At 38.2% G+C, this 20,988-nt stretch overlaps 1 protein-coding gene across 58 annotated transcripts in view; it reads left to right on the forward strand.

Moving 5' to 3' along the window:
• The window catches only part of NEK11 (NIMA related kinase 11), a 323,589-nt gene that overhangs the window by 86,229 nt on the left and 216,372 nt on the right, over window positions 1-20,988 (forward strand). For 54 of the 58 annotated variants that reach the window (XR_001740271.2, NM_001353038.2, NM_001353022.2 and 51 more), the window contains 2 exons: window positions 19,640-19,704; window positions 20,725-20,851. The exons of 1 other annotated variant lie outside the window; for it this stretch is intronic. Coding sequence is in view for 56 of the 57 variants with exons in the window: in NM_001353038.2 (NP_001339967.1) it covers window positions 19,640-19,704; window positions 20,725-20,851 (192 nt within the window). In the remaining variant the exon portion in view is untranslated. Of the gene's footprint in view, window positions 1-19,639; window positions 19,705-20,168; window positions 20,251-20,724; window positions 20,852-20,988 lie in introns of those variants that run through there. 3 more of the 58 variants (NM_001353024.2, NM_001353025.2, XM_024453760.2) reach the window with 2 other exon arrangements.

A 20,988-nucleotide genomic window follows, 5' to 3' on the forward strand; every position in this document is an offset into this window, starting at 1 on the left:
TCAGTAAGTTGAAATGACTGGACTTGCAATTAAGTGTATCTGAGATGTGATAGAAGGTCAAAGATGAACCTGAGGTTTTGTGCCTGGATGAATGAGAAATTGGAAAGACAGGTTTGAAACAATGGTGATGAGTTTAATTATGAATATGCTGGGTAGAATATGGAGAGAGAAGAAGGAGAGGGAGGAGAGAGAGAGAATGAGAATGAGAGAAGGAAGTTAGAAGTGAGGCTCTGGATCTTAGGGAACCATCAGGGCTTGACTTTGTTTGGGTTCCTACAATATCAGAGCTCTGAAACAAAGACTAGGGTACAAATAGAGTTTTAGGAGGTAATCTTAGAAATCAGAAGCCAATAAGTGGGAAGAGTGAGAAGGAGAAGCCAGAAAAGCTGTGCAGAATGCATGGTTGAACTAGTGGCTGCTGTGGGTAGAGGGATGCAGAGGCAGGACTCTTCTAATAGTGTTTTAAGTTTTGAGTTTCTCTTCCTGCATTCTTTCCTGAATTTTTGGGGAAAAAAAGAAAAAGCAGGCCGGGCACAGTGGCTCACGTCTGTAATCCCAGCACTTTGGGAGGCCAAGGCGGGTGGATCACAAGGTTAGGAGTTTGAGACTAGCCTGGCCGACATAGTGAAACCCCATCTCTACTGAAAATACAAAAAATTAGCGAGGCATGGCGGCAGGCACCTGTAATCCCAGCTACTTGGAGGCTGAGGCAGGAGAATGGCTTGAACCTGGGAGGTGGAGGTTGCAGTGAGCCGAGATTGCACCATCGTATTCTAGCCTGGGTGACAGTGCAAGACTCCCTCTCAAAAAAAAAAAAAAAAAAAGGCAATCTTGCTTAAATATAACTATTGTTTTCTAGCACTATTGTGAATTTCCTCTTGAAAAATTTCTTGTATTTCTGGGAATTTGGAGTGAGGAGGGGGAGGAAGTTGGAGTGAGGAGGGGGAGGAAGTTGTCTTCATCTTGATCCAATTTTAGAATGGTTTTTAAATGGAGCAGTTATATATATATTATTCCTGATTGTAAATGTATAATCTATGTTTCACTTCTGTTGGTTTTCAGTATTTAATTTAGTATAAAACATGTTTCCTTCAGAAAATAAACTTATTTATCTTAATTGTCTGACTTTAAAACTTTTTAAATCCAAAGGAATGATTTTTTTTAGCATATGGCATAAACATTTATAAATAATTAAAAAGCCAAGACTATTCACAGAAAGCTACTTTGAGAACGTAGCACTAAAACATGTTCTTGCCGAAGGGAGTCATGCTGTATTAACAAAACTCCAGTGTCGTGGCTTACAGCAGCAATCATTTCCTGCTCATGTTGCATATTGACAGATATGGGTCATCTGCAAGTCTGCTCTACATGTCTTCATTCCAGTACCCAAACTGAAGGAGCAGCCCTATCCAGGACAGGCTTTACTCCTGGTGGAGGGAAAAGCAAGAGAGTGGAAACCCCTTGCTCAGACATGACAATCATCCAGTCTGCTCACATGTCATTAACCAGAGAAGTCACATGACCACTCTTAATGTCAGAGGGGGTGGAGATGCCTCTTCCTCCCAAAGGGACCCCTCACTGCAAGGAATAAGAAGCGTGAATACTTGGGAACAAGAATAAGTCTACTACAATGTTTCACTCAGCTTTAGACTAAAATCTTTCAAATTACAGCTGATAAATATAGGCTTGTCTACAAAGCATTATTCTAGTTTTCTCCTTATATGATCTACAGTATATATTAAAGTATATTTTGAAAATTACATAAATTGGCTTACATATGAGTTAAGATTACCTTGGAAACAATACATGTGAAGAGGTTAGGTTTGTTGCAAATGCCTTGCAAAAATTTTAGTTTATATATATGATGGTTGATTTTATGTGTCAAGTTGACTGGGCAGTAGATGCCCAGAATTACACATTGTTTACAGGTGTGTCTTTGAAGATGGTTCTGGATGAGATTAGCATTTGAATCTGTGGACTCAGTAAAGTAGATTGCCCTCCACAGTGTGGGCAGGCATCATCCAATCCCTTGATGGCTTGAATGGAACAAAAGACAGAGGAAGGAGGAATTTGCCCCCTTGTTCCTGCCTCACTACTTAAGCTAGACATCTCATCTCCTACCCTCAGACTGGGATTTACACCATTGGCTCCCCTGGTTCTCAGTCCTTTGGACAGGGACTGAATTACACTATTGGCTTTCCTGGGTCTCTAGCTTGTAGACAGCAGATTGTGGGACTTCTCAGCCTCCCTAATTCATGAGCCAATTCTTCATAATAAATCATTTATCATTAGAACCCAGACTAATACAGTGCAGCCGTAGAGGAGATAAAGAAGACCCTGGAAACACTAAGAAGAATGAAGTTACAGAAAAAGTGAAGAATCTGTTCACTCCTTTGGAGCTTCCTGTACTTATTTTAATTTGGTTTATTTATACATTATTCTAAATCTATAACATATGGCATAAACACATAAATAATGATGTTAAAACCTGAGAAAATTCACAGTTCACTAGAAGCTATCTTGAGAATGTTGCACTGAAACCCATTACTGTTCTGGGCGGGGAGTTCAGTTATGTCAATTTCTTAAGATAAAGGACAGAGCAGCCTCTCTGCAGAGAGCCCACCTGCTGGTGGTCTCAAGGCCTTGCTGATTTTGGTGCTTTCCAAGTAGAGGAGAGAACAGGGCTGGGCACTTACTCCAAGACGGCTTCCTCATCACCTCACTGCCCATGGATTTCCCAGCCAGCTTGGCGAGGTATTGTGGTAGAGTGGCTAAAATGTTCCCTGAAAGGTAGTGTTTTCTTTCTTTCTTTCTTTCTTTCTTTCTTTCTTTCTTTCTTTCTTTCTTTCTTTCTTTCTTTCTTTCTTTCTTTCTTTCTTTCTTTATTATACTTTAAGTTCTAGGATACATGTACACAACGTGCAGGTTTGTTACATATGTATACATGTGCCATGTTGGTGTGCTGCACCCATTAACTCGTCATTTACATTAGGTATCTCTCCTAATGCTATCCCTCGCCTTCCCCCCACCCCATGACAGGCTCCAGTGTGTGATGTTCCCCACCTTGTGTCCAAGTGTTCTCATTGTTCAGTTCTCACCTATGAGTGAGAACGTGCAGTGTTTGGTTTTCTGTCCTTCTGATAGTTTGCTCAGAATGATGGTTTCCAGCTTCTTCCATGTCCCTACAAAGAACATGAACACATCCTTCTTTATGGCTGCATAGTATTCCATGGTGTATATGTGCCACATTTTCTTAATCCAGTCTATCACTGATGGAAATTTGGGTTGGTTCCAAGTCTTTGTTATTGTGAATAGTGCCACAATAAACATACGTGTGCATGTGTCTTTATAGCAGCATGATTTGTAATCCTTTGGGTATATACCCAGTAATGGGATGGCTGGGTCAAATGGTATTTCTAGTTCTAGATCCTTGAGGAATCGCCACACTGTCTTCCACAATGGTTGAACTAGTTTACAATCCCACCAACAGTGTAAAAGTGTTCCTATTTCTCCACATCCTCTCCAGCACCTGTTGTTTCCTGACTTTTTAATAATTGCCATTCTACCTGGTGTGAGATGGTATCTCATTGTGGTTTTGATTTGCATTTCTCTGATGGCCAGTGATGATGAGCATTTTTTCATGTGTCTTTTGGCTGCATAAATGTCTTCTTTTGAGAAGTGTCTGTTCATATCCTTTGCCCACTTCTTGATGGGGTTGTTTGATTTTTTCTTGTAAATTTGTTTAAGTTCTTTGTAGATTCTGGATATTAGCCCTTTGTCAGATGGGTAGATTGCAAAAATTTTCTCCCATTCTGTAGGTTGCCTGTTCACTCTGATGGTAGTTTCTTTTGCTGTGCAGAAGCTCTTTAGTTTAATTAGATCCCATTTGCCAATTTTGGCTTTTGTTGCCATTGCTTTTGGTGTTTTAGTCATGAAGTCCTTGCACATGCCTATGTCCTGAATGGTATTGCCTAGGTTTTCTTCTAGGGTTTTTATGGTTTTAGGTCTAACAGTTAAGTCTTTAATCCATCTTGAAGAAATTTAATATAAGGTGTAAGGAAGGGACCCAGTTTCAGCTTTCTACTTATGGCTAGCCAGTTTTCCCAGCACCATTTATTAAAGAGGGAATCCTTTCCCCATTGCTTGTTTTCCTCAGGTTTGTCAAAGATCAGATAGTTGTAGATGTGTGGTATTATTTCTGAGGGCTCTGTTCTGTCCCATTGGTCTATATCTCTGTTTTGGTGGCAGTACCGTGCTGTTTTGGTTACTGTAGCCTTGTAGTATAGTTTGAAGTCAGGTTGTGTGATGCCTCGAGCTTTGTTCTTTTGGTTTAGGATTGTCTTGGCAATGTGGGCTCTTTTTTGGTTCCATATGAACTTTAGTTTTTTTTTCCCAATTCTGTGAAGAAAGTCATTGGTAGCTTGATGGGGATGGCATTGAATCTATAAATTACCTTGGGCAGTATGGCCATTTTCACGATATTGATTCTTCCTACCCATGAGCATGGAATGTTCTTCCATTTCTTTGTGTCCTCTTTTATTTCATTGAGCAGTGGTTTGTAGTTCTACTTGAAGAGGTCCTATACACATCCCTTGTAAGTTGGATTCCTAGGTATTTTATTCTCTTTGAAGCAATTGTGAATGGGAATTCATTCATGATTTGGCTCTCTATCTGTTATTGGTGTACAGGAATGCTTGTGATTTTTGCACATTGATTTTGTATCCTGAGATTTTGCTGAAGTTGCTTATCAGTTTAAGTAGATTTTGGGCTGAGACGATGGGGTTTTCTAAGTATATGATTATGTCGTCTGCAAACAGGGACAATTTGACTTCCTCTTTTCCTGATTGAATACCCTTTATTTCTTTCTCCTGCCTGATTCCCCTGACCAGAACTTCCAACACTATGTTGAATAGGAGTGGTGAGAGAGGGCATCCCTGTCTTGTGCCAGTTTTCAAACAGAATGCTTCCAGTTTTTGCCCATTCAGTATGATATTGGCTGTGGGTTTGTCCTAAATAGCTCTTATTATTTTGAGATACATTCCATCAATACTTAGTTTATTGAGAGTTTTGGGTATGAAGGGCTGTTGAAGTTTGTCGAAGGCCTTTTCTGCATCTATTGAGATAATCATGTGGTTTTTGTCTTTGGTTCTGTTTATATGATGGATTACGTTTATTGATTTGCATATGTTGAACCAGCCTTGCATCCCAGGGATGAAGCCAACTTGATCGTGGTGGATAAGCTTCTTGATGTGCTGTTGGATTCAGTTTGCCAGTATTTTATTGAGGATTTTTGCATCGATGTTCCTCAGGGATATTGGTCTAAAATTCTCTTTTTTTGTTGTGTGTCTGTGGGCTTTGGTATCAGGATGTTGCTGGCCTCATAAAATGAGTTAGGGAGGATCCCTCTTTTTCTGTTGATTAGAATAATTTCAGAAGGAATGATACCAATTCATGTTTGTACCTCTGGTAGAATTCGGCTGTGAATCCATCTGGTCCTGGACTTTTTTTGGTTGGTAGGCTATTAATTATTGCCTCAATTTCAGAGCCTGTTATTAGTCTATTCAGGGATTCAACTTCTTCCTGGTTTAGTCTTGGGAGGGTGTATGTGTCCAGGAATTTATCCGTTTGTTCTAGATTTTCTAGTTTATTTGAGTAGAGGTGTTTATAGTATTCTCTGATGGTAGTTTGTATTTCTGTGGGATCGGTGGTGATATCCCCTTTATCATTTTTTTTGCATCTATTTGATTCTTCTCTTTTTTCTTCTTTATTAGTCTTGCTAGCTGTCTATCAATTTTGTTGATCTTTTGAAAAACCAGCTCCTGGATTGATTGATTTTTTGAAGGGTTTTTTGTGTCTCTATCTTCTTCAGTTCTGCTCTGATCTTAGTTATTTCCTGCCTTCTGCTAGCTTTGAATGTGTTTGCTCTTGCTTCTCTAGTTCTTTTAATTGTGATGTTAGGGTGTCAATTTTAGATCTTTCCTGCTTTCTCTCATGGGCATTTAGTGCTATGAATTTCCCTCTACTCACCGCTTTAAATGTGTCCCAGAGATTCTGGTATGTTGTGTCTTTGTTCTCATTGGTTTCAAAGAATATCTTTATTTCTGCCTTCATTTTGTTATGTACGCAGTAGTCATTCAAGAGCAGGTTGTTTAGTTTCCATGTAGTTGAGCGGTTTTGAGTGAGTTTCTTAATCCTGAGTTCTAGTTTGATTGCACGGTGGTCTGAGAGACAGTTTGTTATAATTTCTGTTCTTTTACGTTTGCTGAGGAGGGCTTTACTTCCAACTATGTGGTCAATTTTGGAATAAGTGCAATGTGGTGCTGAGAAGAATGTATATTCCGTTGATTTGGGGTGGAGAGTTCTGTAGATGTCTATTAGGTCTGCTTGGTGCTGAGCTGAGTTCAAATCCTGGATATCCTTGTTAACTTTCTGTCTTGTTGTTCTGCCTAATGTTGACAGTGGGATGTTAAAGTCTCCCATTATTATTGTGTGGGAGTCTAAGTCTCTTTGTAGGTCTCTAAGGACTTGCTTTATGAATCTGGGTTCTCCTGTATTGGGTGTATATATATTTAGGATAGTTAGCTCTTCTTGTTGCATTGATCCATTTACCGTTATGTAATGGCCTTCTTTGTCTCTTTTGATCTTTGTTGGTTTAAATTCTGTTTTATCAGAGACTAGGATTGCAACCCCTGCTTTTATGTTTTGTTTTGTTTTCCAGTTGCTTGGTAGATCTTCCTCCATCCCTTTATTTTGAGCCTATGTGTGTCTCTACACATGAGAGGGATCTCCTGAATACAGCACACCGATGGGTCTTGACTCTTTATCCAATTTGCCAGTCTGTGTCTTTTAATTGGAGCATTTCGCCCATTTACATTTATGGTTAATATTGTTATGTGTGAATTTGATCCTGTCATTATGATGTTAGCTGGTTATTTTGCTCGTTAGTTGATGCAGTTTCTTCCTAGCATCGATGGTCTTTACAATTTGGCATGTTTTTGCAGTGGCTGGTACTGGTTGTTCCTTTCCATGTTTAGTGCTTCCTTCAGGAGGTCTTGTAAGGTAGACCTGGTGGTGACAAAATCTCTCAGCATTTGCTTGTCTGTAAAGGATTTTATTTCTGCCTCATTTATGAAGCTTAGTTTGGCTGGATATGAAATTCTGGGTTGAAAATTCTTTTCTTTAAGAATGTTGAATATTGGCCCCCACTCTCTTCTAGCTTGTAGAGTTTGTGCTGAGAGATCCGCTGTTAGTCTGATGGGTTTCCCTTTGTGGGTAACCCGACCTTTCACTCTGGCTGCGCTTAACATTTTTTCCTCATTTCAACTTTGGTGAAACTGATAATTATGTGGCTTGGAGTTGCTCGTCTTGAGGAGTTTCTTTGTGGCATTCTCTGTGTTTCCCGAATTTGAATATTGGCCTGCCTTGCTATATTGGGGAAGTTCTTCTGGATAATATCCTGAAGAGTGTTTTCCAAGTTGGTTCTATTCTCCCTGTCGCTTTCAGGTACACTAATCAGATGTAGATTTGGTGTTTTCACATACTCCTATATTTCTTGGAGTCTTTGTTCGTTCCTTTTTACTCTTTTTTCTCTAAACTTCTCTTCTCGCTTCATTTCATTCATCTGATCTTCAATTACTGGTACCCTTTCGTCCACTTGATCAAGTCAGCTACTGAAGCTTGTGCATGCGTCACATAGTTCTCGTGCCATGGTTTTCAGTTCCATCAGGTCATTTAAGGTCTTCTCTATGCTGTTTATTCTAGTTAGCCATTCATCTAATCTTATTTCAAGGTTTTCATCTTCTTTGAGATGGGTTTGAACATCCTCCTTTAGCTCGGGGAAGTTTGTTATTACCTATCGGCTGAACCCTTCTTCTCTCAACTCGTCAAAGTCATTCTTCGTCCAGCTTTGTTCCGTTGCTAGCGAGGAGCTGAGTTCCTTTGGAGGAGAAGAGGTGCTCTGATTTTTAGAATTTTCAGCATTTCTTCTCTGGTTTCTCCCCATCTTTGTGGTTTTATCTCCCTTTGGTCTTTGATGATGGTGACGTACAGATGGGGTTTTGGTGTGGATGTCCTTTCTGTCTGTTAGTTTTCCTTCTAATAGTCAGGACCCTCAGCTGCAGGTCTGCTGGAGTTTGCTGGAGGTCCATTGCAGACCCTGTTTGCCTGGGTATCACCAGCAGAGGCTGCAGAACAGCAAACATTGCAGAATGGCAAATGTTGCTGCCTGATCCTTCCTCTGGAAGCTTGGTCTCAGAGGGGCACCTGGCTGTAGGAGGTGTCTGTTGGCCCCTACTGGGATGTGCCTCCCAGTTAGGCTACTCGGGGCTCAGGGCCCAGTTAAGGAGGCAGTCTGTCCGTTCTCAGATCTCAAACTCTGTGCTGGGAGAACCACTGCTCTCTTTAAAGCTATCAGACAGGGACGTTTAAGTCTGCAGAAGTTTCTGCTGCCTTTTGTTCAGCTATGCCCTGCCCCCAGTGGTGGAGTCTACAGAGGCAGGCAGGCCTCCTTGAACTCCGGTGGGCTCCACCCAGTTTGAGCTTCCAGGCCACTTTGTTTACCTACTCAAGCCTCAATAATGGTGGACGCCCCTCCCCCAGCCTCGCTGCCCCCTTGCAGTTGGATCTCAGACTGCTGTGCTAGCAGTGAGAGAGGCTCCGTGGGTGTGGGACCCTCCAAGCCATGCATGGGATATAATCTCCTGGTGTGCCATTTGCTAAGACCATTGGAAAAGCACAGTATTAGGGTGGGAGTGTCCCAACTTTCCAGGTACCATCTGTCACGGCTTCCCTTGACTAGGAAAGGGAATTCCCTGACCCCTTGCACTTCCCAGGTGAGGTGATGCCCCGCCCTGCTTCAGCTCACGCTCTGTGGGCTGCACCCACTGTCCAGCAAGCCCCAGTGAGATGAACCCGGTACCTCAGTTGGAAATGCAGAAATCACCCATCTTCTGTGTCGCTCATGCTGGGAGCTGTAGACTGGAACTGTTCCTATTCGGCCATCTTGGAACCTCCTCCCTGTTGTGTTTTTTCCTGAAAGGTAGTGTTAAGAACTCATTTTTAATGTAGTGAGGCTTCCAGGGAAGAGCCATACTTGGAAATCTGAGTCCGTAAATATGACTGTGGAAGGAGGTGTCCTACCCCAGATTTGAAGGTGGAAAAGCAGAGAGAAGTTGTGTTTGGTGTTACTGGAGATTCCTGCTTTCTCCTGGTCCTCACTTCTTGAGGATATCCTGCAGTCACTTTTTCAAGGTAACCTCACCCCTGAGCCAGGTGTAGGCACACTCCTGATATGCTGACAGTGGCCAATAGTTTGAGGAAGACCTGACCCTGCTTCTGACTTACAACATAGAGGACTCATTGTGTTAGTGAGGGGAATGAGACTGATGAAGAAAGGCAGGTGCCTCAGTGCCCAGGACAGGGGCCACATGGCAAAGACCAGTAACAGGAGTTGCCTGGGTTGTGCATCACAAAGGAGCCATTGGCTGTGCCAGCACCTTTGGCAAGAAGAGTTTGTGATCCACCCTGAGAACCTGCTAGATGAAGGATAGACCTCCAGGGAGGGTTTCATATCATAAACTGTTCATATTAGGGCTTGAGGGGAGGTGAGAGGAATTGTCCATACCTTCTCCACAGTTCTACCTTGGGCTGGAGGCCTGAGAAATGCCTGCCCTCTGTACCTCCACAGACTGTTCTTCATCCTAGCATGGGCCCTGGATGCTGGGGAAGAATGACCTGATGGGGAGATGGAGATGGGATTTTTAGCATGAATTTGAACCAGAAACTGTCAGCAAATCTTAACCAGATCACTTGGGTGTCATGAAACATAGAAATGAGAGGGACCCACCACTTGAACAGATATGGTATGGTGCACTTGAGATAATAGATGGAGAACTGTGTTGAGCTTTTTAGAAGAAAGATTTCATATAAACTTTATTGCCTGTTACCTTATTATTTGTTGGATTTCATTTTCATATACTTCAAAGGAATGGATATTAGCCAAACATAGGATAAAATTATGCTGGCTCATTTTGGCTTACTGTAACCACAAAGCCAATACATTACGATTTTTTTTTTCTCCTGAGACGGAGTCTTGCTCTGTCACTCAGGGTGGAGTGCAATGGCATGATCTCGGCTCACTGTAACCTCTGCTTCCCAGGTTCAAGCAATTCTCCTGCCTCAACCTCCCAAGTAGCTGGGATTACAGGCATACGCCACCATGCCCGTCTAATTTTTGTATTTTTAGTAGAGATGGGGTTTCACCGTGCTGGCCAGGCTGGTCTCGAACTCCTGACCTTGTGATCTGCCTGCCTCGGCCTCCCAAAGTGCTGGGATTACAGGCATGAGCCACCATGCATGGCCAATTATAATTTTTCAATAGATATTTAGCAAATAGCTTGATACCTGGTTTGTTGCATAGAATTTATTGTTCCATTACCACAGTGCCAGCTAATTACTTCTCATAACTGCTTTCTAACATATTGTATGCCTTATTCTTAAAGTATCTACTGATGAGTTACTAATTTATATATTTATAGAGGCCTATCAATGTATTATTTGTAATTCATCTTCTGCTTGTCTAGTCTAGGTGTCATCAGGTGAGTTTCTTTGGAATGTTTTACTTACTCCAAAGTTACAGCACCAAGTCTTCTGGTGGGCTCCTTAGCTCACTATTGCAAATCCTAAACCTGTTGTCTCTTTGACTTCCTAGAATCAATAGCTATAGAAACCAAGTGATCAACTTAAGACACTCTTAATTGCAAATAACAGAAGCAGATTAAACAGTAGAGAAAATTTATTACCTTGCCTAACATGAAGTCTCCAAAGTGAGTTGTTCTAGAGCTGGTTAACTTGGGTGGCTGAGCAGTATTCTCTGGGGTTCTAGTTCTTTCTCTTTATTCCACCATTCTCAGTGTGTTTGGCTTTTGTAGTCAGACTTGTCCTCTTGTGGTTGCCAGAATGGCTGTAACACGACCACGTATCCCGCCTTCACACAACAGTAACCAAACTCCAGAAAAGGTAAAAGGGACATATGGCATGTCACTCCCCCCTTTTTTTGTCTTTTATAAGAGTAGGGAAGTATTTCCTACAAGATTCCAGCAGACTTCCCTTGTGTCTCATTGATGTTAGAAAAATTTCAAAAAACATGGAAGAGACAAAAGATATTAGTGGATATTTTTCCACTGCAGTGCTGGACTTAACTTTCTATTATCTGGGCTACTTCCTAACTCTGTGGAGGCAGAGGCACACTTGAATATTTTTGTCCAGCAGAGATGCAAATAATTTCTGTCCAGTAGAACAGATATCCCTGGTGATGATGGTTTATGGCCTTGTTGGGCATTAACCAGTTTTGTATCTAACTCAGCAATCATATCCCCCTGCCACATTCACCCCCTACACCCCCCACTTCCTTTACCTAACAGGTCTGAGGAGGGCTGAGCCTCCCCAGAGGCTCATGGGGTTCTGGTGTCAAGGGAGAAGAGGAGGAGAATGGTTATTGGGTAGGCATTTCACAGTTCCTGCCACACCAAGAGAACCCCAAGAGTAGGCATAGAGAAAGCCAGGTTTCATTTAACACAGTTAGTAAATACTGTTGTTCTCTTTTTAAATCAGTTAAGAAGTCAGCAACATACTCATGTACAGCATAGGTCTAGGTATCGTGGGAATGTAAGAAGGCAGTAGAAAATAGTTATTAAATAGCAAAGTTTTTATAGATAAACAGACCTATGTGAGAATAGTGGTTTATAGAGTCAAAGAGACCTCAGTTTGAACCAATAGGCTATACAACATTGGGCAAGTTATTTGGCCTTTCTAGGCCTTGATTTCCTCATCTCCAGATTGGGCATAACAGTAAAAAAATAGTAGTATAGTGCTTAGGATTATAGCATCTGGGGTTATGGACCTCAAGATGAAGTGGCCTAGTGTTGCATTGTCTAGTTTTGCTCTTCTCTTTTCTCTCTATTCTTAGAAACATACTTATTCCTCTCTAATCCACTAAAGGGTTAAAGAGGCTAAAGATTATTTGAATTAGGGGAAATTCTCACTATCATATCCAATTCTTCACTTTATATGCTGATTTTATAGGCCCGGTTGAGTTTCTGCCCATTTGTGTCCTATAAAGTAAACTATATGATCTTTATGAGTGACTTTTCTTTAAAATGTTGTTAGTCAGAATTTGCTTAGTCAGAATAAAGCTGGATGGTTGAGGCCTGAACACTTTACAAAGGTAACATTATTACACTTGTACTATCATTAATTCTAATGGTAAAAATTATTTTTATAATTGATATTTCTGGTTTTAATTAATAATAGTAATATTAATTTGGTGGGCATGTAACTGAGAGTGATCATTTACTGAGAGAGATATTTCCTTATGACCAGGTGAATGTCTTTATTGGTAATTATTTACAATTATAAATAATTCTTTAGTAAAGTGACAGTGGTTAGGTTTCCCTTCTGCCATCTCTTACAGTTGCTGATGTACTTAAAAAAAACTCTCTAACCTGAGTGTAAGCATTATGAGATACATAGCCTTGTCTTATGAATCTTTGTATCTGTCACATTATGTAGTACAGCACATAACATCTAGTTGGCACTCAATAATTGTTTTTTGGATTAATGAATGAGTCCCACTAGATAGTATTCATCTTTGTACCAAGGATAGTGTTTTAAAAACCAACATGCATTTATTGAGCATCTCCTGTGAGTGAAGAACTGTGAAGAGGAAGAGATGATATTAATAGAAATGTGGCTCAAGCATTTGCTAAGGCTGCCAGAAGCATTGGTAGGGCCAGATCTTGAAATCTCTAGCAGGCCACATATAGAACTGTAGACTCTATTCTGGAAGCAGTGCAGAGCCATTGAAGGACTTAAGTTGGTGTTTAAAGGACAGATTTTCATTTTCTAAAGCCACAACCCCATTTCTGACCTAAGGCTCAAGAATACTGCTCCCAGACTGGGTTCTCCTATTTAAGCAGGAGGACAGATACACTGCAGTCAATTTCTTCTTAAAGACTTTGACTCCAATTGTGTCCTTCTTTTCTATTATTTTTATTCAGGATTTCAGTTCTACTTCCTTTATGTACCCCACAAATTATTAATTAGTGCTACCATTATTATTGGTTTACAAGCCAAAACTAGTTTAGATTTCCCCACTTTTATCAATCTCTTGGTTCACCACTTCTTCTTCCACCCCATGTCTTCCTTCTGTGGTCATTTTTTTTCCTCCCCAAAACAAATCCTTAAGTTACGTGAATGATAAACACTCAGTTTCTTTGTTTGTTTGTTTGAAAATGTTTTTATTTTTTCCTCATCCTTTTATAATAGTTTAGCTACTATTTCAGCTAAAAATGTATTATTATTTAGCTATTATTAAAAATGAAATTCCAGATTGACAGATTTTTATCTGACATTTTGAAAATGTTATCTCACTGTCTTCTGGATTCTGTTATTGATGTTAAGTCACTTTCCATGTAACAGACATTCTTATTAAGGTAATGTCTTTTCTTTCAGTTGATTCTCAACATCTTTGTCCTTGGTGTTTTCCAATATTACAGTGTTATGTCTACTTGTGGATTTTTGTTTTAAATTCTGCTTGGGATTTCTTTTGCTTCTGAGCTTGTGAATTCATGAAAACTTCTAAATTCTGAAAATACCTCGTCATTCTCTCTTTGAATTTTGCTTCTCCCCTATTCTCCTTTTACAATGCTTAAAGATGTATGTTAGACCATCACATTCTGTTCTTCATTGCTATGCACTCCTTCTAGGAATCCATTTATATATATATTAGAACTTTAAGCCTGTATTTCAGATGTCTCTTATACTCTTTTCTATGTTTTCTTTTTCTTTCTTTCTTTCTTTTTTTTTTTTTTTTTTTTTTTGAGACAGAGTCTCACTCTTGTTGCCCAGGCTGGAGTACAGTGGCGCGATCCTGGCTCACTGCAACCTCCGCCTCCCATGTTCAAGCAATTATCCTGCCTCAGCCTCCTGAGTAGCTGGAACTACAAGTGCCTGCCACCATGCCCGGCTAATTTTTGTACTTTTAGCAGAGATGGGCTTCATCATGTTGGCCATGCTGGTCTTGAACTCCTGACCTCAGGTGATCCACCCACCTTGGCCTCCCAAAGAGCTGGGATTATAGGCGTGAGCCACTGTGCCTAGCCTTTTCTATGTTTTTAATCTTTTTTTCTTTTTGCACCTCAGTTGAAATACTTTTCACTAACCATTATTCCAGTTTCTAAATCCTCTCTTCTGCTGTGTCTAATTTGATTTCAAACATATGCACTAAATTCTTAATTTTAGTAAAATTTTGTTTCAGTTTTAGAATTTCCATTTGATTCCTAGAAAATATATATATGCACTCCTAGTGCATATAAAAATATATATATATTTTCTATATAGAAAATATATAGAATCTAGCTCTCTATTGAAATTCTCCATTGTGTCAGTTATTTTCTTGAGCAATAATCACAGTTATTTTCAAATCCTTGTCCAATAATTTCAATAGGTGGATCACTTGTGTATTTATTTCTATATCTCTTTTTTTCTTTTGGTTTTTAATCATTTGATCTTATCTTTTGGTATGCCTGGTAGTTTTTGAGTGAATGCTGAACAATATATGTGAAATATTGAGAGATGTTAGATGATATTACTTTTCTCTGCCTGACAGTTATATTTAGGGCAGATCACCTTGATCTAATGAGGAACTGAAATAGTTTAACTGTAGGCTGTAGGCTTTTGGAGGGTTGGTCTATTTTCAGTTTGCCTTTATTTCTATGAAGAAGTTTTTCAGAGCTTTCAGCTGAAGGGTTTAGTTTTTTACTAAGATACCTCTTCCTTTGTGGACCCTGAAATCCAAGTTTATTGAATCTACTCAAAGCTCTGATTAAAAATTTAAAATAAACTTTATTTTTTAAAGCAGTTTTAGGTTCACAGCAAAATTGAGTGGAAGGTACAGAGATTTCCCTTATACCCCCTGCTCCCACACATGCATTGCCTCCCCTGTTATCAGCATTGCTACCAGTCATACATTTGTTATAACAGATGAACCTACATTGACAGATCATTATCATCAAAGTCTATAGTTTACATTAGGGTTCATTCTTAGTGCTATACATTCTTTGAGTTTGGGCACATGTATGACATGTACCCATCATTTTAGTATCATAAAGTTGTTGCATGGCCCTAAAAATTCTCTGTGCTCTCCTTACTCATTCTTCCCTCCCTCTTAAACCCTGGCAACCACTTATCTTTTTGTTGTCTCCATAGTTTAACATTTTCCAGATTGTCATATAGCTGGAATCATATATAGATTTCTCAGGCTGACTTCTTTCACTTAGTAGTATGCATTTAAGTTTCTTCCATGTCTTTTCATGCCTTAATAGCTCATATCTTCTTAGCACTAAATAATATTCTATTGTGTGAATGTACCATGGTTTATTTAACCATTCCGCTACTGAAGGACACTTTTGTTGCTTTCAAGTTTTGGCAATTATGAATAAAGCTGCTATAAACACCATTGTGCAGGTTTTTGTGTGGACATAGTTTTTAATTCATTTGAATAAATACCAAGGAACATGATTGCTGGATTATGTGATAAGCATTTGTATCATTTTGTAAGAAACTGCCAAACTGTCTTCCAAAGTGGCTGAACCATTTTGTATTCCCACTAGCAGCGAATGAGAGTTTCTGTTACTCCACATCCTTGTGAGCATTTGGTGTTGTCAGTGTCTCGATTTGGGCCGTTCTAATAGGTGTGTAGTGGTACTTCATTGTTGTTTTAATTTTCATTTCTCTGATGACATATGATGTAAAACATCTTTTCAGGTTTATTTGCCTTTTGTATATCATCTTTGGTTAGGTGTCTGTTAAGGTCTTTGGCCCATTTTAAAACCAGATTATTTTCTTATTGTTGAGTTTTAATAGTTCTTTGTATATTTTGGATAACAGTCTTTTTTTTTTTTTTTTTTTGAGACTGAGTCTCGCTCTGTCACGCAGGCGTGTCAGAGTCGCAATCTTGGCTCACTGCAAGCTCCACCTCCCAGGTTCATGCCATTCTCCCGCCTCAGCCTCCCAAGTAGCTGGGACTACAGGTGCCCACCACCAGGCCTGGCTAATTTTATTTTTGTATTTTTAGTAGAGATGGGGTTTCACCACGTTAGCCAGGATGGTCTCGATCTCCTGACCTTGTGATCTGCCTGCCTCAGCCTCCCAAAGTGCTGGGATTACAGGCTTGAGCCACTGCACCCGGCCAACAGTCTATCAGATACGTCTTTTGCAAATATTTTCTCCCAGTCTGTGGCTTATCTTTTTATTCCTTGACAGTGTTTTCTTACAGAGCAGAAATTTTTTATTTTAATAAAGTCTAGCTTCTCAATTCTTTCATGGATTGTGACTTTGGTGTTATATTTAAAAAGTTATCACCAAACTTAAAATCATCTAGATTTTATCACATATTATTTTCTAGCAGTTTTATAGTTTTATATTTTTTAGGCCTATGATTTATTTTTGAGTTAATTTTTGCAAAGGCTGTAAGGTCTGTGTCTAGATTCATCTATTGTATATGAATGCCCAGTTGTTCCAGCACCATTTGTTGAAACGACTGTGTTCCATTGCATTGCCTTTGCTTCTTTGTCAAAGATCAGTTGACTGTATTCACGCAGTTTTATTTCTGGGCTCTCTATTCTGTTTTATTGATTTTTTTTCTCTCCAATACTGTACTGTCTTAATTACTGTACTTTATAGAAAGTCTTGACATCAGGTAGTATCAGTCCTCCAACATTGTTGTTCTCCTTCAAAAGACCCAATATTATGGATCTTTTGCCTTTCCATACAAATTTTAGAATCTGTTTATCAATGTCTACAAAATAACTTCCTGGGATTTTGATTGGGGTTACATTGCATCTATTGATCAATTTGGAAAGAATCCATATCTTGACAATATTGAGTCTACCTATCCATGAACATGGATTATTTTTCCATTTATTTAGTTCTTCTTTGATTTTTTTTCATTACAGTTGTGTAGCTTTCCTCATATAGATCTTGTACATATTTTATTAGATTTATACCTAAGTGTTTCATTTCAGGGGTACTAATGTAAATATAGTTTGATATAAATGTCAAATTCTACTTGTTCATTGCTGGTATATAGGAAAGCAATTGATTTTTGTGTATCAACCTTGTATTCTGCAACATTGCAGAATTAATTACTTGTTAATTCCAGGAGGTTTTTTTAATTGATTCTTTTGGATTTTCTACTTAGCTGATCATGTCATCTGTAAACAGAGAGTTTGTTTTTTCCTTTCCCATCTCTATTCCTTTTACACTTCCTTTTCTTGTTTTACTTAATTAGGTAGGACTTTCAGTATAATGTTGAAAATAAATGATTAGAGGGGACATTTTTCCCTTGTTCCTGATATCAGCAGAAAAACGTCAGGGTTCTCATTGTAAAGTGTGATGTTAGCTGTAGGTTTGTTATAAATATTCCTGTTTCTAGTTTATCAGAGTTATTGTCATGAATGGGTATTGGATTTTGTCAATTGCTTTTTCTGCATCTATTGATTTTTTCATGTGATTTTTCTTCTTTATTCTGTTGATGTGATGGATACATTAATTGACTTTCAAGTGTTAAAGCAGCCTTGCATACCTAGTATAAATCCCACTTGGTTGTGGTGTATAATTCTCCTGACACAATGTTGGATATATATATGTATATTTTTTGGACAACATCTCGCTCTGTCACCCAGGCTGGAGTGCAGTGGGGTGATCTCAGCTCACTGCTACCTCTGTCTCCCGGGTTCAAGCGATTCTCCTGCCACAGCCTCACAAGTAGCTGGGATTACAGGCCCCTGCCACCATGCCCAGCTAACTTTTGTATTTTTAGTAGAGATGGAGTTTCACCGTGTTGGCCAGGCTGGTGTCGAACTCCTGACCCCAGGTGATCCACCCACCTCGGCTTCCCAAAGTGCTTGGACCACAGGAATGAGCTGCCACGCCTGGCCTACAATGTTGGATTTGATTTGCTAATATTTCAGTGAGGATTTTTTCATCTACATTCATCAGAGATACTGGTTTTTAGTTTTCTTTTCTTGTAATGTCTTTGTTTGGTTTTAATGTTAGGATGATGCTGACATCTTAAAATGAGTTAGGGAGTATTTCCTCTGCTTTTATTTTCTGAAAGAGATTATAGATATTTGGTGCAATTTCTTCCTTAAATATTTGGTAGAATTCGCCAGTGAACCCATCTGGGCCCAGTGTTTTTTATTTGGAAACTTACTAATTATTGATTGAATGTATTTACTGAAGATGGGCCTATTTGATTGTCTACTTCTTGTATGATTTTTGGCAGCTTGTGTCTTTGAAGGAATTGGTTCTTTTAATCTAGGTTATCAAATTTGTGGTTATAGATTGTTAATAGTATTGCTTTTTTATTCTTTTAATGTCCACGGAATCTGTAGTGACGCCCTCTCTTTCATTTTTGATTTTAATAGTTTTTGTCTTCTATCTTTTTATTTTACTTAGGCTGGCTAGAGGCTAGTTGATTTTATTGATCTTTTCAAAGAACCAGTTTTATTTTTGTTGATATTCTCTATTGGTTTCTTGTTTTCAATTTTATTATTTCTGCTGTAATATTTCTCCTTACTTTTGGTTTAATTTGCTTTTCTTTTCTAGTTTTCTATGGTGGAAGCTTAGATAACTGATTTTAGATCTTTCTTTTTTTCTAATATATATATTCAGTGCTGTAAATTTCCCTCTAAGCACTGCTTTTGCTATATCACACAAATTTTGATAAAGTGTGTTTTCATTTTCATTTAGTTCAAAATATTTTAAAATTTCTCTTGAGATTTCTTCTTCATTGTTTAGAAGTGTGTGGTTTTATATTCACATATTTTGGGATTTTCCAGTTATCTTTCTGTTATTAATTTCTAGTTTGATTCCATTTTGATGTGAGAGCAGAAATGGTATGATTTCTCTTCTTTCAAATTTGTTAATGTTTTATGGCCTAGAATGACTTTCAGTTTCTTTTTGAATAATTCGCAGGGATTTTTTTTCATTTTTATGTGAGCTCAACTGTGCATATATGAAGATATTTGTATACTTTATTCGGCATTTTAGTTTTTTTATGCAAAGATTTTCAAGTTTTCTAGTTCTTTATAATTCCATAAAATAAAGGTCTTAACTGACATAATTTACATTACTGACTTATAGTCAGATTTAATAAATGTTACCTATTCTTAAATATCATCAACAACGTTATTATTTTCACAAGTATATAAAACTTGGACATTTGGGTAATAATAGATTACAAACTGGTCTATCAATTGAGGATATGGTTACTGGATATAGTACTATGTAGATTATGCTACAAAAACATAATAAAATATAGCCTATTGAAATAGTTGAAAGCATATCACCGTTCTCCAAACTACATGTTCCCCAACCTTTAAAATCTTTATTTTAAAACTTTTGTTTCCTCAGGGAAACTGGAAAGTATTGTGGCTTTGTAGCTTTTAAACATTGAAAGATATATCTATGGGAGTATATATTTATGTGTAAATCATGTGCAACAACATATATTATTTACATGGGGATTTAAAAATGTTATATTCTGCATGAAGTTGTATATCTTTTTTGCCTTTTGTAGGAGGATACTTCATCGAGACTTAAAGTCAAAGAATGTATTTCTGAAAAATAATCTCCTTAAAATTGGTAAGATTTTAAAAAGTATGAATTCCAAAAACGCAGAACAGTATATTCTAGATATTATCATATCAAATTGAAGTAAATGGTACGTGGAAGTATTAGAGTAATCATTGGTTTGTTTAAATTTCTCAAATTTTTAAGTACATGTGCTGCTGAAATGAACACTAAATTTCTCAGGTTTCTAGATGGGCCCAACAAAACCTAATTGTTTTGTTTCTGAGTATCTGATATAAATTGAGGTGTACAAATTTACCACATATTTGATAGATTTTTCAAATATACTTTGAGTTCCCTGTTTCATGCCAGGCACTTTACAAGTTATTAGAATCATTTTACTGGTTTGATTAGTTACTACAGGTTTCTCATTTATATTATTTCATCACAAGCAATAAGTGGTTATAGATAATGAAAATGTTGATATAATGGCTTTATTAACCTTTAGTTCTTCAGAACTGTACCTCTCCTCATAACAGCTACTGGATCATCTAATCATCATATAGGGTGTACTTGGGGAAGGAAGGAAGGAAGGAATAAAAGTGTGCAACTAGTTAGGCAAGTATTAAAAAGCTGATAGATTCAAATTTTTATAGTCATGTTCTTAAATAGTCTCAGATCTTTTCTTTAAAACGCTCCATTATTGTAAATTTAAGAACAAATTCTTCTCCCCTCAGGTGAAATTGTATATCATCTTATTCAGTTTTTCCAAAATCATTCTGTTTGCCATTATTCAGACTTTAAATAGCTTTTTATATCAAATTGTCTAGTTTCCCATAATTCCAGAAATAAAGAATTTTAGCTTACATAATTCACTTTCCTGGCTCAAAGTCTTCCTTCTATAAAACTTATGTTTTTAAAACTATTTACCAGCGTTGTATAATTTAAGATATATTACTTTTCTTTCCTGTTAAAATGCTATGAACCATTGCATAATAAAATGGTCAAATTAGGCACTCATTCAGTTGTTAATTTCCAGGGCTAATTTTTCGTTGGCTTAAAGTATTCATAAAAATTAATTATTATTTCAAGGAGATTTTGGAGTTTCTCGACTTCTAATGGGATCCTGTGACCTGGCCACAACTTTAACTGGAACTCCCCATTATATGAGTCCTGAGGCTCTGAAACACCAAGGCTATGACACAAAGTCGGACATCTGGTGAGTGGGCTAGTGGGCTAGACTCTTCATCTGCTTCCCTAAAAGAATGGTACATTTTGTCTTTCAGCTCATTTACTTACTGCATACATTCACTTTATCCCTTTGACATGAATATTTCTGTGACCAGAGTAAAAGAA

The sequence above is a fragment of the Homo sapiens genome, chromosome 3, assembly GCF_000001405.40.
Source record: "Homo sapiens chromosome 3, GRCh38.p14 Primary Assembly".
Classification (NCBI taxonomy): domain Eukaryota; kingdom Metazoa; phylum Chordata; class Mammalia; order Primates; family Hominidae; genus Homo; species Homo sapiens.